At 34.3% G+C, this 16,115-nt stretch overlaps 1 long non-coding RNA gene across 3 annotated transcripts in view; it reads left to right on the top strand.

Annotated features, from left to right (window-relative positions):
• LOC107986438 (uncharacterized) overlaps positions 1 to 9,797 on the top strand; it is a 28,207-nt gene extending 18,410 nt beyond the window's left edge. For all 3 annotated transcript variants that reach the window (XR_001742828.2, XR_007058890.1, XR_001742827.1), the window contains one exon: positions 9,517 to 9,797. This is a non-coding gene — a long non-coding RNA (uncharacterized LOC107986438). The remainder of the gene's footprint in view (positions 1 to 9,516) is intronic.
• The last annotated feature ends 6,318 nt before the right edge of the window (positions 9,798 to 16,115 follow it).

Below are 16,115 nucleotides of genomic sequence, written 5' to 3'. Positions count from 1 at the left end.
ACAGAACTCAGGAAAATGTAACTCAAGTTTATCAGTTTATTATAAAGAATAATACAAAGGATACAAATGAAAAGATGCATACAGCAATGCATGCGTGAAGAGGCATGGAGCCTTCATACGCTCCTCATGCATGCCACTCTTCAAAAACTTCTACATGTTCAGCTATCCAGAAGCATTCTGAATCCTGTTTTTTGAGGGGTTTTATGGAGGCTTTATTACATAGGCATGATTGATTAAACCATTTGCTGTTGGTGCTCAACTGAGCTTTTAGCCCCTCTCTCCCCACTGAAGGTTTAGGAGTGGTACTGAAAGTCTCAGCCGTCTAATCCTGCCTTAGTCTTTCTAGTGACCAGCCCAATCCTGTGGCTACCTAGAGGTTGTCAGCCACTAGTCAAGTCAGTAGCATAGAAAATTTTATAACACTGGATAGTCCAAGGATTTTATGAGTTAAATGTCAAAAAATGGGGACTGAAGACTAAATATATGTATTTCACAATATCACAGTTGCTCTGTCAACTTAGCTTTATAATGGGTTCAAAACTGGTCATGAATTTACAGTTTGTTGCATTTTATTTTATTGTAAATATGGGAATAAAGTACCTTCAACTTCTCAACATCTAGAGATGAAGACAGAAGTCTCATTTATTCACTCTTCTATGGTTTAGAATTTTAACAATAGCATATATGACATTAAAATAGCCTAGATATGTTTAAAAATATATACCTACCATAAATGCATCTGCTTAATCCTTTGTAAAAATTAAGGTACAATAATCAATGATATTTCTTGACTTATAATGAGAAAAAAGTAGTTTAAAAGGATAAATAAAACAAATATTTTAAGAGAACTCCTAGTGATGACAGTGTTTCTGACTAAAGTATGATGCAAACTAGTACATGTGTATGTGTACCAAGGGCAGGACCAGGTAAAATATATCTGCTTAGGTTATTGCTACATTTTGTGTAGATTTTCTGTGAGAAAGTTTCCTGAACTTTGCAAAAAAAAGAATCTGGAGAATGGAAGAGAGATGAAAGGACAAGTTGGAGAAAAAGGGTGAGTTTCCTGAAGAAAGGAAATCTGTGTATTGTTAAGAGTAAAGGATGGGAATGGTGGCTACAGAATTTCAAGTAAATTGTGGAATGAGAAGAACTAGAGGAAGAGGGTTTTCAAAGTGCTGTGAATTACAAGAAAAAGAGTAATAAAATGTTATTTCTGTGTAAATATCTTTTGGCTGATGGATTGATGTTTCTTTGACTGTAAGATTGCTTTCTGACTAGGCAATAGAGATTCCAGGATCTAATTTCAGAGTTAAGTGTTTACATGTAAATCCACCAAATATTTACAGTTCTTTTATGGAGTGTTAATTAGACTTTTCATTTCTTCATTTTACTGTTTTTATTTAATAAATTTTCTTGAGATAAAATATAATATTTTTATGATGAGAAAATCAATAAGAGCTATTTTTAGAAGTCAGTCTTTAAATTGAAGCCCAGCATAGTGTAGAAAATTAATAAAGAAATAAAAGAACAATACATACCAAAGTGAGAGGTCTGCCACCATCTATCTGGATGACCTTATATAAGAGAATAAAGTTCTTTAAGCTTCAGTTTTCACACAAATTAAATAATAACTTTAAATTGGGTTTGTTATTTTTCACAACTGTGCATCAAAAAACTCTAAGACCTAGAAGGTGGCACCAGGGGCCTCACCAGAAAGCCCCTCAGGACTGCTTCCTTGTTTGTTTGTTTGCTTGCTTTAACATTAAGTTTCCTGTTAATTTTGAAGTAATGCTACTAATGTACAAAATTAAACGTTAAAAATTTGTGAACGGAAGCAATTTTAAATCCTAAATTGATAAAACACTCTGAGACATTTTGTTAGTTTCCTAGAACAGCCATAACCAAGTACTACCACAAATTATGTGGTTTAAAAACACGTATTCTCTCAGAGTTCTGTAGGTCAGAAGTATAAAATTAAGGTATCTGTAGGCCTATGATCCCTCTAAGTTCTTAGGTAAGAATCATTTCTTGCAACTTCTTAGCTCTGCTGGTTGCCAGTAATTCTTAGCATTCTTGGACTTGTAGATTCCTAAATTCAATCTCAGACTCCATCTTCACACGTCATTCTTCCGTCTGTGAGCCTGCATATATTCCACTCTTCTTATAAGGGCATGAGTCCTACTGGATTAGGACCCACCTTAATCTAATATCACTTTATTTTAGCTTGGTTACATCTGCAAAGACCTTGTTTCCCAATAGAGTCACATTACAAATATGAGGCGTTAGGACTTCAACATATCTTTTAGAAGGACACAGTTCAACCCACAACAGATACTAATGGGGTAAGCATAACATAGCATGGCATGGCATTGAATGGCATGGCATAGCATAGTATATTTGTTTTGAAAGACCTATAGTAATTAAGATGTTTAAAAGATATATTCTTATCTGAGCCTGACACTTTTTAGCTATATGACCTTGAGCAAGACTCTTAGTTTTTCCAAAACTAATATCTTTATCTGCAAAATGCAACTAATAATTTTACCTATCTCATAAACTTGCTTGGAGATTTCATGAATTTATATATTTAAAACACTTGGAACAGCCAATGATGCATAGAAGATGCCCTGTAACTATTTGTCATTATTATATTTGTAATATATAATAAGTCTGTATAAATTAACTGCCAAGTTAGAGACTAACTCTTTAAAAAGGAAGTGAATTCAATGTGGAATGAAGTAACACAGATGTCCTCAAATAACACTGAGCTTGAGCCTTCAACTACCACTAGAGATTGGATAGATGAAAACAAATGTTTCATTTTTGTGAAGTGATGTAGATGAGCAAAAGTAATTATTTTCTGTTCTCTTTCCTTCTGTATTCAAAAAGAAACAATTATTTCTACTTGATTTCAATGTTTTTCAACATGAAAACATTTACTATTTCTTGTTAGAATTTGTCTTTAAAATATGTATTACAAATCATGAGTGTTTTATTTCTAATGGTATGTGAATATACTCTGCAAAAGAAAATAATGAGCTGGATATTTCTTGCCCATTCTTTAAAAAATTCTAGAAAATACAGGGTGGCGTCACAAAGATAGTCAGCTTTATAAACTAGTGTAGTATCACAAGTGTTGAGTAAATTAATAATTATTACATATGCATATAATTATGATATAATGTACACATACTTATATATCATCATATAATATACTCTACATATATAATTTCTATTATCTAAAGAAAGATTATGAGCAATTGGTTGTATACAATGACTTAATATTTTTCCATTTTGAGATTTAAACATATTCTCAAATTTTAAATTATTTTTTGAATGTTGATCAAAAAGTGTTCAGAAATGTGCTAGCAAATATGAGACATGGTTGTGTTTCCAAATCTTATATTCAAGTAGAGGGATATTTAAAAACATGAAAATACATATCACTCACGAATTCAACAGCAATGCAAATACTAACTGGAGGCATCACAGGGCAAAATAGCACTTCATAAAATGTTTAATGAGAGTCTTAGGAATTTCTATCGAAATCATATGAACTGCTTTTTCTTTCTTTATCATGGTAAAATACATATAAATTCTGCCATTTTAATTATTTTAAGTGTATTATTAAGTGGCATTAATTACATTCACAGTGTAATTCCAATATTGTCCAACCATGTCCAACAATCTATTTTCAAAACCTTTTTAACACTCCAAACAGACACTCTTTAAAGAAGTAAGCACATATTTCCAATTCCCCTTTCCCCAACTCCTGATAACTTCTAAACTACTTTCTCTCTTTATACATTTACCTATTTTAGATATTTCAGATAGATTGGAATATACAATATTTGCTCTTTTGTGTCTGTGTGATTTCACTTACTGCAATGCTTTCAAGGATAAATCATTGTTGTAGCATGTATACAAATTTTATTTTTTATTATGGCTGAATAAATATCCCATTGTATGAATATACCACATTTTGTTTATCTGTTAGTGGAAAGTGAGTTGTTTGCTTCTTTTAGTTACTGTTAATACTGCTGCAATTAACATTGGCATGGAAATACCTGTTTGAGTCTCTGTTTTCAATTATTTTAGGCATATATCTAAAAGTGGAATTGCTGGGTTGTATGGTAATTACATGTTTAAATTTCTGAGGGAATGACAAACTGTTTCCCACAGTGGCTGCTTTATTTTACATTCCCACCAGCAATATAAAAGGGTTTCAATTTCTTACATCTGCACTAACACATATTTTTTATTTGCTTTTTAATAATGGACATTCTAATGGGCATGAAGTGACATCTCCTGGTTTTAATTTGCATTTCCCTAGTGATTACTAATGTTCATGTGCATTTCTATTTCTCTTTTGATTAGTGAATATTTGAAAATCTTTTCATGTATGTATAGCCCACTTTTATATCTTCATTGAAGAAATTTTTATCAATTTACATTTGCCCATTTTTAAATTGTATTGTTTATTTTTGTTCTTGAGTGTAGGAGTTCTTTATATATTCTAAGTAAAAGCTTTCTCAGATACATGATTTGCAAATATTTTTTCATATTCTGTAGGTTTTTTTTTTTCTTGACAATGTCCTTTGTGGCACAAAAGATTTTAGTTTTGGCAAAGTCCAACTTGTCGATTTTTCCTTTGTTTTTATTTTTTATTGCTTTTAGTGTCATATATGAGTATCTGTTGCCAAAACCATGAACATAAAGGCTTATTCATGTTTTGTCTGAGGTATTTTATAATTTTAGCTCTTACATTTAGGTCACTGATACATTTTTAATCAAGTGGTCTAATCGTGTTCTTTTGTATGTAGAAATTCAGTTGTTTCAGCACCATCCATTCTGATAAACTATTTTTTCACCATTGATGGACTTAGCACCCTCGTCAAAAATCAGTTTGTCATAAGGATGTGGTTTAAACTCTTAATTACATTCCATTGGCCCATATGTTTATTCTTCTGCAAGTATCAAACTGTTTTGATTATGGTAGCTTTGTAGTAACTTTCCACAATAGAAAGTGTGTGTCCTTGAACTTTGTTCTGTTTTTCAAAATTGTCATGGCCTTGAGGGGACCCTTGCAATTCTGCATGCATTTGAGAGTTGGCTTTCCTGTTTCTGCAAATAAAGGCTTTTGAAATTTTGATAAAGAGTGTGTTGAATCTGTAAATTGATTTGATTTTTTTTGAATTGCTCATTGCTGTTTTAGGAACCACAACTAGATTTTGTGTGCTGATCTTGTGTTATATTTTTTTAATTTTTAATTTTTAGCTCAAATGCTTTCTGAATTCTGTGGAGTTCTTTTTTTATTATGTAAGATCAAGTTATCTCTGACTACAGACAATCTTATTTTTTCCTTTCCAATTTCAATGCTTTTTATTGCTTTTGCTTGTTTAATTTCTCTGGCTACAATTTCCAGTAAACTGTCAAATAACAGCAATGGAAAAAAGCATGTTTGCTTGCTCATTATCTTAGAGGGAAAGCTTTCAGTCTTTACAATGGCATAGATGGTTATTAGTGTGAGATCTTATAAATGTTCTTTGTTATTGTTTAGGAAGTTCCTTTGTATTCCTACTTTTCTGTTTTTATCATGAAAGAGTGCTGAATTTTGCCATGTGTTTTTTCTGAAACAACTGAGATAATCATTTTTTTCTTTTTTTTCTACTAATGTAAGATATTACGTAGACGGATTTTTCTATGTTGAACCACCCTTGAATTCCTTAGATAAATCCTGCTTGGTCATAGTGTATAGTTCTTATATGTTGTTTGATTTGGTTTGCTAATGTTTTCCTAAGGATTTTTGCATATGTATTTACAAGGGATATTGTTCCATGTTTTCCTTTTCTCGTGATGTTTTTATCTGATTTTGGCATTGTTAGCCTCATGAACTGAATTTTAAAATATCTCTTTATTATCAAGTATTTTTGGTAACAGTTTGATAAGTTTTTTTTTCTTTTTTCGATATTTGTCATGATTAACTACTGAAGACATCTGGTTCTGGACTTTTCTTTTTTAGGAGATTTTAGATTACTTATTGAATATCTTTAATTGTTATAGGTCTGATGAAATTTTTTATTTCCTTTTGAGTCAGTTTGGAAAATGTGTATATTTTTAGGATTTTGTAAATTTCATCTAGGTTAACTATTTGTTGCTGTACAATTGTTCTTAGCATTCTCTTAACATTCTTTCCTCTTTCTATAAAGCTAGTAGTTATGTCTCTATTTTTATTTTGGTTTTTAATTACTTGCACTACTTTTTTTCCTGGTCAAACTAGCAAAAAGTTTGCCAATTTGGTTGATCTTCTCAAACACCCAACTCTTGGGTACCTTGATTGTATTGTTTTTCTATTCTCTGTTTTATGTCTCCACTTTAGCCATTATCATTGTCTTGTTTCTGAAAGCTTTGGCTTTAGTTTTCATTTCTAGTTCCTACTTTGTTAATATTTTCCCTAGTTCCTTAAGATGTAAATTCCTTTTTCTAATTCCTCAAGATGTACATTTGGGTTACTAATTTGAGGTCTTTTTTTTAAATATAGGTATTTGCAGCTATAATTTTCCCACTGAGCACTACATTTGTTACATCTATTAAGGTTTTACATGTTGTGTTTTATTTTAACTCATCTCTAAGTATTTTCTAATTTTTTGCAATCTTCATTGACACATTCATTGATTAATATTCATAAACAAAAACAAATTTAGAGTTACAAAACAAAATTACAAAAATATTAGCTTCTATATTGTCCATATATTTACCTCTATTGGTGATATTTATATCTTTGTATTGCTGTGAATTACATCCAGTTTCCTTTCATTTCAACCTAAATAATTCCTTTTTGCATTTTTTGTAAGGAATGTCTAGTAGTAATCAACTTTCTCAGATTTGGTTATCTGAAAATGTCTTAATTTTACTTTATTTCTCAAGAATAGTTTTGTCAGGTATAGAATTCTTGGTTGGCATTCATTTTTTTTTCATTCAGCATTATAAATATATAATACCCATGCCTTTGGCCTTCAGGTTTCACTTGAGAAATTAGCTCCTAATCTTGTTGAGGATCCTTATATATGATGATGCATCATTTCTCTCTCACTTCATTCAAGATTATATTTTCTTTGGCTTTTAACAATTTGACTATGCTGTGTCTTAATGTGGGTCTGGTTAATTTTTATTATACTTGGATTTTGTTCATCTTCTTGGATTTGCATACACATGTACTTGATAAAAATGGTAGTATTTTTGTTTCTATTACCTTAAATATTCTCTCTGCCCCTATTTTCTATTTCTTCTAGTTCTGAGACTTTCATAATTTGTATGTTCTTGAATTGATAGCTTTCATCAGGTCACTTAGGCTCTGTTAAGTATTCTTTATTATTACTTTTTCTTTCTGCTCCTCAGAGTCAATAATTTTAACTGTCCTATCTTCAAGTTCACTGATTCTTTCTTCTACCTCCTCAAATCTGCTGTTGAGCCCATATAGCAAAACATTCACTTTGGTTATTCATTTTATCTTGAGAGGTTTTGTTTGGTTTCTTTGTAGCTATTCATCATTTTAATATTATTGTCTTTTTGTTTAGACATTGTTTTGTTAATTTCTTTAGTTTTTTATTTCTTTCTGTCTCCTCTCTTAGCTGTTTAGCATATTTAGAAGAGTTGTTTAAAGATTTGTCCAGTCCATCTCATGATTGGGCTTTCTCAATCAGTTTCAAATGCTGTAAGAGAAAACCATAGAATGGACATCTTAAACAACAGAAATTTATATATCACAGTTCTGGAGGCTGGGAAGTCTGAGGGTAAGGGCCTGGTGGATCCAGTGTCTTGTGAGGGTGTGTTTCCTGGTGGATCCAGTGTCTGGTGAGGGTGTGTTTCCTGGTTTGCAGATGGCAGTTTTCTAATTGTATCCTTTAATTTTAACCTAAAGAAGTTCCTTCAGCATTTTTTTATAGGGCTAAAATTGTGAAGAGCAGAGAGAATGAGTGAGAGAGAGAAAGAGAGAGATCAAGCTCTTACGCTTCTTCTTGTAAAACTTGTAATCCCACTCATGATGGCTCCACCCTTGCGACTTAATAATCTTGCAAATGCGCCACCATTTAGCTCCATCACATTGGAGGTTAGGATTTCAACATATACACTTGATGGAGAAACAAACATTTAGCTCATTGCATATTTTGTCAATTTAATATTTTTTCCTTTCAATAGGCAGGTTTTTTTCTGTTTATTTGCATGTCTTGTGATTTTGTTATTGTTTTTAAAAAGTAGACTTTCGAATGCTTTAATGTGGCAACTGGAAGTCAGATTCTCCCTCTTACTCAGGATTTGCAGCTTTTTTATTGTTGAAGGTTTAATAGTCCATATGTTTAGTGACTTTTCCAAATGATTGTAAAAATTGTATTCTTTGTCATATGTGGTCCCTGAAATCTCTGATCTTTTACCTTGTGTTTAGTCAATACTTTGACAGAGATTTTCTTGATTGTTATGAACTAAAAATAAGTAAATAAACAAAACAACAACTATAGAACAGAAAAAAAAAAAGCAAACCAAAACAAACTTCTCTATCAATCATTGCAAATTGGCTCTATGCTGGGGTACTTCAAATCTTTGCCAGGTTTCCAACTTAGTCTAGTTCCCAAGGCAAAATATTAGGACCTTCTCAGTTTTTTCTGAGCATATATCTTGCCCTGGTTATGCATGTGGAATTCTAAATTCTCCTGTATACACAGATGTTCCTAGTTTTCCAAAGAATCTATCACAACTTTACTTATTGAACTTTAGATGGTATATAAAAATGAGCAGCTTTTCCATACTACCCACAGAGGGGTCCATATGGCATTGTTCTGTATTCCTGTCAGTCCTAACTTAAAGTGAAACCTTCACAATGTCTGGAGCCCTTCATGTCTTGCAAATAAAGGAGGAGGACGTCCTTAAGTTCCTTGAAGCAGGAACACACTTAGGAGGTTTGTTGTATTTATATCAATAAAATATAGTAAAACAGTTTTTAAAAAATATATATATAGTATATATGTGTATACACATATATACACACACACATATGTCTTAAAACACACACACACACACAAACACACACACATACACACTGAAAGTTGAACTAATAAACAACAATTATCTGGGGCTAAAGTTACTCTCTCCCTCTCTCTCTCTCTCTACATATATATAAACACACACACACACCATATATATATACACACACACACACACACTATATATATACACACACACACCATATATATATACACACACACACACTATATATATATATAGAGAGAGAGACAGAGAAACCATATATATGGTGTATATATACATTGAGATATGCATATATATTGCATATATAAATATATATATGGATATATATATATGTGCAATATATGCCACTTTTTTTGGTCTGATTTAGGAAAAACAGAGACAAGTACCATATGTTAGTTCTTCAGGAAGCCCATTTGACAGCTCAGAACAGATAAACAGAATGCTTTATATATAAGGTTTGCTCTGCTTTTTCAGGAATTGGAGACCAAGGTCCCACACTGAAAACAAGAAGTTGCTACCACTTCAAGACTGCTACTGTACCAGGGAGGTGGTGTGATAAAGGCAAGTAAAAAAACTGAGAATTTTTTGTCAATTTCAACTTGCCTTTTCTTAACATTCACTTGATTGACACAAACATTTGACTGTTTTTTAGAATTTTGTCAAAGTTGTTTCTAACGATTCATGCTTATTTGTTGCTTCTTCTGGGGATGAAGGAGAGATTGGTATTGCCTACTCTACCATTTTGCTGATGTTACTCTGAGATATCATAAATTTGTTAAAAATAATTTTTTGCTATATTATGCCTACTTAAAATCTAGTGGGTGAAGATAAATCCTGCTTGGTCATAGTGTATAGCTCGTATATGTTGTTTGATTTGATCTGCTAATGTTTTCCCAAGGATTTTTGCATACGTATTTATAAGGGATATTGTTCCATGTTTTTCTTTTCTTGTGATGCTTTTATCTGATTTTGGCATTGCTAGGCTCATAAACTGAATTTTAAAATATCTCTTTATTGTCAAGTTTTTTTGCTAACAGTTTGATACTTTTTTTTTCTTTTTTTGATATTTGTTATGATTAACTACTGAAGACGTCTGGTCCTGGATTTTTCTTTTTTAGGAAATTTTGTGGCTCTATGTTTCCATGTATATATACAGATAATAACTATATATTTGTGGAATGCAATATGACATTATGATACATGTATACATTGTGGAATGATAAAATCAGGACAATTAACATATCTATCCCTTTAAATAGTTCTTTTTGTTGTGGTAAGAACATTTGAAGTCTGTTCTTTAGCTATTTTGAAAAATATATTACATTATTAACTATAGGCACCATGTTATGTAATAGGTCCCAGAATTTATTTTTCCTAAGAAATGATTCCCTTTCTTTCATATAGTTGCCAACACTTGTTATCTTTCATTTTTTTAATAGTAGCCATTCTAGCGGGTGTGAGGTAATATCTTGTTGTTGTTTTAACTTGCATTTCTCTGATGACTAGACATGTTGAACATTTTTTACATACCTGTGAGTGTGATAACAACTCACTGAAGCCTCAACTTCCTGAGCTCAAGTGATCCTCTCATCTCAGCCTCCCAAGTAGCTGAGACCATAGGCCTGTGCCACCATGCTTAACTAACAATTTTGTCTGCTTTGTATAGAGACAAAATCTCACTATGTTGTCCAGGCTTGAACTTATAGGCTCAAGTGATCCTCCTACTTTGGCCTTCAAAACTTCTGGGATTGTAGGCATGAGCCACCATTCTCAACCCTTTTGTCCATTTTCATTGAAATTTTTTTTCTTGTTATTGACTAGTTTGAGTTTCTTATATATTTTGGATATTAGCCCCTTATCTGATGTATGATTTGCAAACATTTTCTCTCTACCTGTAGGGTGTCTCTTTACTCTGTTAATTGTTTGATTTGCAGTGTAGAAACGTTTTAGTTTGATGGAATCCCATTTATCTATTTCTGCTTTTGCCATCTGTGCTATTAGGGTTATATCCAAGAAATCACTGACTCGTCTAATATCATGTAGCTTTTCTCCTATATTCTCTTTAATAGTTTTACAGTCTCAAGTATTACATTTAAGTCTTTAATTCATTTTGAATTGAATTTTGTATGAGAAGTGATATAAGGGTTCAATTTTATTCATATGCATGTGGATATTGGGTTTTCCCACAACTATTTATTGAAGAGACTGCCTTTTCCCCATTTTGTGTTCCTGGCACCGTTTTGGAAAATCAATTGACCATAAATGTCCATTTTATTTATTGACCCTCTTTCCTATTACATTAGTGAATGTTTCTGGGGTTTTTGTTGTTGTTGTTTTTTATTGTTTTGTTTTGTTTGTTTGTTTGCCTGTACAATGCTGTTTTGATTACTACAGTTTTGTAATATATTTTGAAAGCTGGAAATGTGATAGCTTGAGCTTAGTACTTTCTGCTGAAGATAACTTTGGCTACTTGGGGTCTTTTGTGGTTCCACACGAATGGTAATTTTTTTCTGTTTCTATGAATAAAGACATTGGAAATTTGATAGGAATTACATTGAGTCAGTATATCACTTTGAGTAGAACAGACATTTTAACAATATTAATCCTTCCAATGCATCAGCACCAGATATCTTTCAATTTGTTCATGTCATTTTTCATTTTTTTACATCGATATACAAGTTTCAGTACACAGGTCTTTCACCTCCATAGTTAAATTTACTAATTTACTGATATTTCATTTTTTGATGTTATTGTAAATTAAATTTATATTTTTTCAAGTCTTTTTTTCTTAGTGTATAGAGACACTACTGAATTTTCTAAACTAATTTTGTATCCTGCTACTTTACTATGTTCCTTTATTAGTTCTAACAGTTTTTTGGTGTAATCTTTGAAATTTTCTCTATATAAGATTGTTATAAGATGTGTGGAAATCAGAGAAAATTTTACATCTTTCTTTTCTATTTAGATGTTCTTTTTCTTACCTAGTTAATCTGGCCAGGACTTCCAGTACTACTTTGAAAAGAGGTGATGATAGTGGGCATTTTTGTCTTGTTCCTAATTTTAGAAGACATGCCTTCAACTCTTTATCACCCAGTATAAAGTTAGCTTTGAGCTTGTCATGAGCTAAGAAAGGAGAAAGAGAAGGGTAAAATAAGTAAAATTTATATACCAAGAAAAACGTTTACATTACAAAGTGATACGTGAGACTAAAAAATAATGAGGACCTTTATTGTGTTGAGAAACATTTGTTAACTTATCTTTATTCTTTTTTATTTTTTTCTGTATGCTCTTCAGATTGGATGATTTCCAGGGACCTGTCTTTGAGTTCCTGATTCTTTCTGTTGATTGAGCTAGTCTTCTGTTGAATCCCTCTACTAAATTTTTCAGTTTAGTTATAGCAATTTTCAGCTCTACAATTTCTGTTCAGTACTTTTTTACAGTTTCTATTGCTTTGTTGAAATCTTCAGTTTATACATGCATTGCTCTCCTAACCTCAATGAGCCTCTTTATGACCATAATTTTGAGTTTCCTGTTAGGTAAAAAACATATCTTCACTTCACTTGGGTAAGTTTCTAGAGATTTATCTTGTTTGCTTATTTTAAATATATTTACCTGTATATTCATTTTTTTTTTCACTGTCTTGGTGTCTGTGAATCAGATAAGACTACTGCCTCCCTCAGTCTTGTTAGACCGGTCTTTTGTAGGAGAAACATCTCACCTATCTGTCTGGCTAGAGATTTTAATGTACCTTTTAAATTTTTGTATTTGACCAAACTACTGTCTATGTTTTTGGTGGCTCCTTGGAGATTAGAATAGGCCACATCCTGTCAGTAAGTAAGGTACTTACTGACCTTACTCTGATAACTAAGGTAAAAGCCAACCCCTCTAGATGTAACTGGAAAGGTTGGAGATGTATTTCAGTTTTATCTATCCTCATGGTAAAGCTGAGCACAGGCTCTTATCTCCCTCTCTTTCTGCAGTAAGCCTGAGCAAGGATCTTTGTCAAATGCCTGTACTCATATTCAGTTTGTATGCTCTGATCTTGGGCAGATAGCTGCTGGACGTGAGCCCATTGTGTATCTATCTCTTTATTTTTTGTGGTCTAGGGCCACTCGCGAACACAAATATCCATTGAATCCCAGAGTTAGGTTGTTAAGAAGATAGTCCCTTGAGCAGAAGCTATGGGAGTTATGGCACTATGTGCTTCAACCATTTCTTTTCAGGATGAAAAGGTAGACCTGGATATATCACTGGAGCAAGCAGGAGGAAAGGCTCAGGAAGTTTCAAGCCCTGGCTAAGGCTATCAAAGGGTTACTATTTGTCTATTCTGTTAGCTCCTTGATACAAATTTATTAGAAGCAGGACATTAAGAAGACACTGAAAGAGAATACAAGAAACCTCTTTCAGAGAGAAAATAGAAACTATACATTCCAACCCTACATCTGCACTGCTTTAAGGGGGCATAGCCACTAGAAGATATTGCACATCATTTAAAAACTACCTCTTTGTTCTGTGATCCAGAGAGCCTTGGATATGCCTAGTTTTTTCTGCCCCCAGAGATAAGATGCTTAGGAGACAGCCCATCTGGTGGGATCCATAAAAGTTGGGGTACTTAATGTGTGGCTTAAACCATTTTCTGGGAGAAGAAGGAAACTTCATTTTTAAAGCCCCATTATCTTCAGCACCCTTGAGAGATGAAGCGCCTGGAAGTACTTGAATGATTGCTCACAACTGTACTTTTTCTTCTGTGTTCTAGAGAGACTTACATATGCGTAGTCTTCTCTGCTCCCACAGCTAGGAGGATTAGAATTCAATACCTTGGGTGGAAGCTGTAAAAGTTGGAGTGTTTGATATTTGGACAAACTCTTTCCAGAATGAATTGATAAACTTGATGTTATCACTGGGGCAAGCAGGAGTAGAAGGCTTGGAAAGTGCTGATCTGCTTCTCAGACTGCTGGAGGGTCACTGTTTGTTTGATCTTTAGGTCCTCAATGTATGTTAGGTAGAAGCCAGGCTACTAAGTATCCACTGCAACAGTGTGTCATAAACCCCTTCTGGGGAGAAACAAGGAGCTGTTTTTTCAAGCCCCTTCTCTGCACTACTGCTGGAGGATAGAGCCCCTAGAAGTGCTTGCACATGTATACAAAACCACTCATTTTTTTTTTCTTGTGGACAAGATAGACTTTTACATGGTTAATCTCCTTCACTCCCAGAGTTAGTGAATTAAGAACCAAATTAAAAGGAACCTTAGAGTGAGGGCATTACATGTGAGGTCCAAGCCCTCTTCTCCACAGGCAGAGCTGAGTGTTTGGGATTTCTCTCCTGTCTACGTGGTGCAGTATCTGAACAGGGCCTGTACCTGGGTGTGCCTCTGCTTTTACTACCCATTCCGTGTGGATGTTTTCTTAGCTGCTCAGTGAGTAGGAGTCTCTCAACTATTTCTGAATTTCTCTCAGATGGAACTGATACATGAGTAGATGTTTATTTGGTACATCCATGCTTGGAATGTGAGTCAGAAAGCTCTTTTTCCACCATTTTGTTGACATCTCCCATAAAGTCATTTTAATAAGACATTCACTTCATGAAAATATAGATAGACCTAGAAAATAATACAAATAAGGGTGATTTTTTTTTTCTAAGATGGCAGATTGGAGGAACTGTCAGTGTGTCTCTCCCACTGGAAGGACAGAATACTGTGTAGAAATTCACACTGTGAACTGTTTTCCAAGGAGCAATGCAGGAAATTAATAGGAAAACTTAAATAATCCATAGACCCTTTGAAACAAGTAACAGTCTGAAGCCTACTCTCTGAGACAAGAGAAAAACTGTAAGTCCACAGAGTGTGAGGAGAGAGAGACTGCCTCCAGGATATACATTTCCACTTGGGAATCTGAAAATCCAGCTCGCAGGAGACATTAAACCTACCCAGAGCTGGGACTGATTTAAGGAATGACAAGAAATCTGAAAGTAGAAGCAGCAGCAGGAAATACTTTGCAAGTATTCCCAGTCTCCAGTGAGGACTGAAGGAAGCCATTCCTGATTATATCTCATAAGAGACTTTGGGGAAGTCAGTCAACTAGCTCAGGGAGGGGTCACTATGATGACAATGAAGCTCCTAACTGAATTTCATAATATAATCTCAAGTGGGGATGAACTCCCTTGCCCAGAACCCAGGGGCTGAAAGGGAAGTATGCTCCAGAAACAAGCACAGGAACTGGGCACCCAGCCTAGTGCGGAGACAGGGAGGCCATGGTTGCTATCTCTGAAGGGTAAGCTTATGGCCTGGGCAGGTCTGAGTTCTGTGCACAGGCAGCCTGGGTCTTAACCTGGTGATGTTAATGGAACACTGTGGGAGTGAGATTGTCCTTGCCAACTGCATGGAAGCTGGGTGAAGCTTACAGCCGCCTGTAACTCCCCACTCCCTTTGCAAACTTTTCTGTGAAGCAGAGGCAGTTATACTCACCTTGGGAACACTGCTCCAGTGACCATAGAACCACCCCCTGACCCTCACAGGGGTCACAGCTTGCTCTGCTCAAGGAGAGTCAGAGTACAGACTCGACTAACCTTGCTTCTCCTGGTTGTGCCCATCCACCCACCCTGGTAGCTTAGCACAAACAACATAAACTTTTGGGAACCTTATAGCCCTGCTTATTGCCTAAGAAACCAGAATACTGAAGAGGTGCCACGATGGCCAATTAGAAGCAGCTGCGATCCAAGATACTAACAGAGAAGAATGAAAGGGGAGAATGAATACAGTACCTTCAACTGAAATATCTAGGTTCTCACATTGGGACTGATTAGGGAAACAATTTGACTGTGGACAATGAAGAAAAGCAGGGTAGGGTGATGGCCCACTCTGGAGTGACATAGAGCCAAGGGAATCCCCAGCCCTAGCCAGGGAAACCGGGAGTGATTGTGTAACTCCAGGAAACCATGCTTCTACCATGGATCTTTGCAACCCATGGATCAGGAGATCCCCTTGTGAGCTCATGCCACCAGGACCTTGGGTCTGACACACAGAGCTGTGTGGAGTCTTCAGATCAGCTGCTCATGCACACACAGAGACCATGTAG

This window comes from Homo sapiens, chromosome 5, assembly GCF_000001405.40.
Source record: "Homo sapiens chromosome 5, GRCh38.p14 Primary Assembly".
Lineage (NCBI taxonomy): Eukaryota > Metazoa > Chordata > Mammalia > Primates > Hominidae > Homo > Homo sapiens.
The sequence above is the reverse complement of the archived record's forward strand: the minus strand, read 5'-3'. Positions and strand labels throughout refer to the sequence as shown.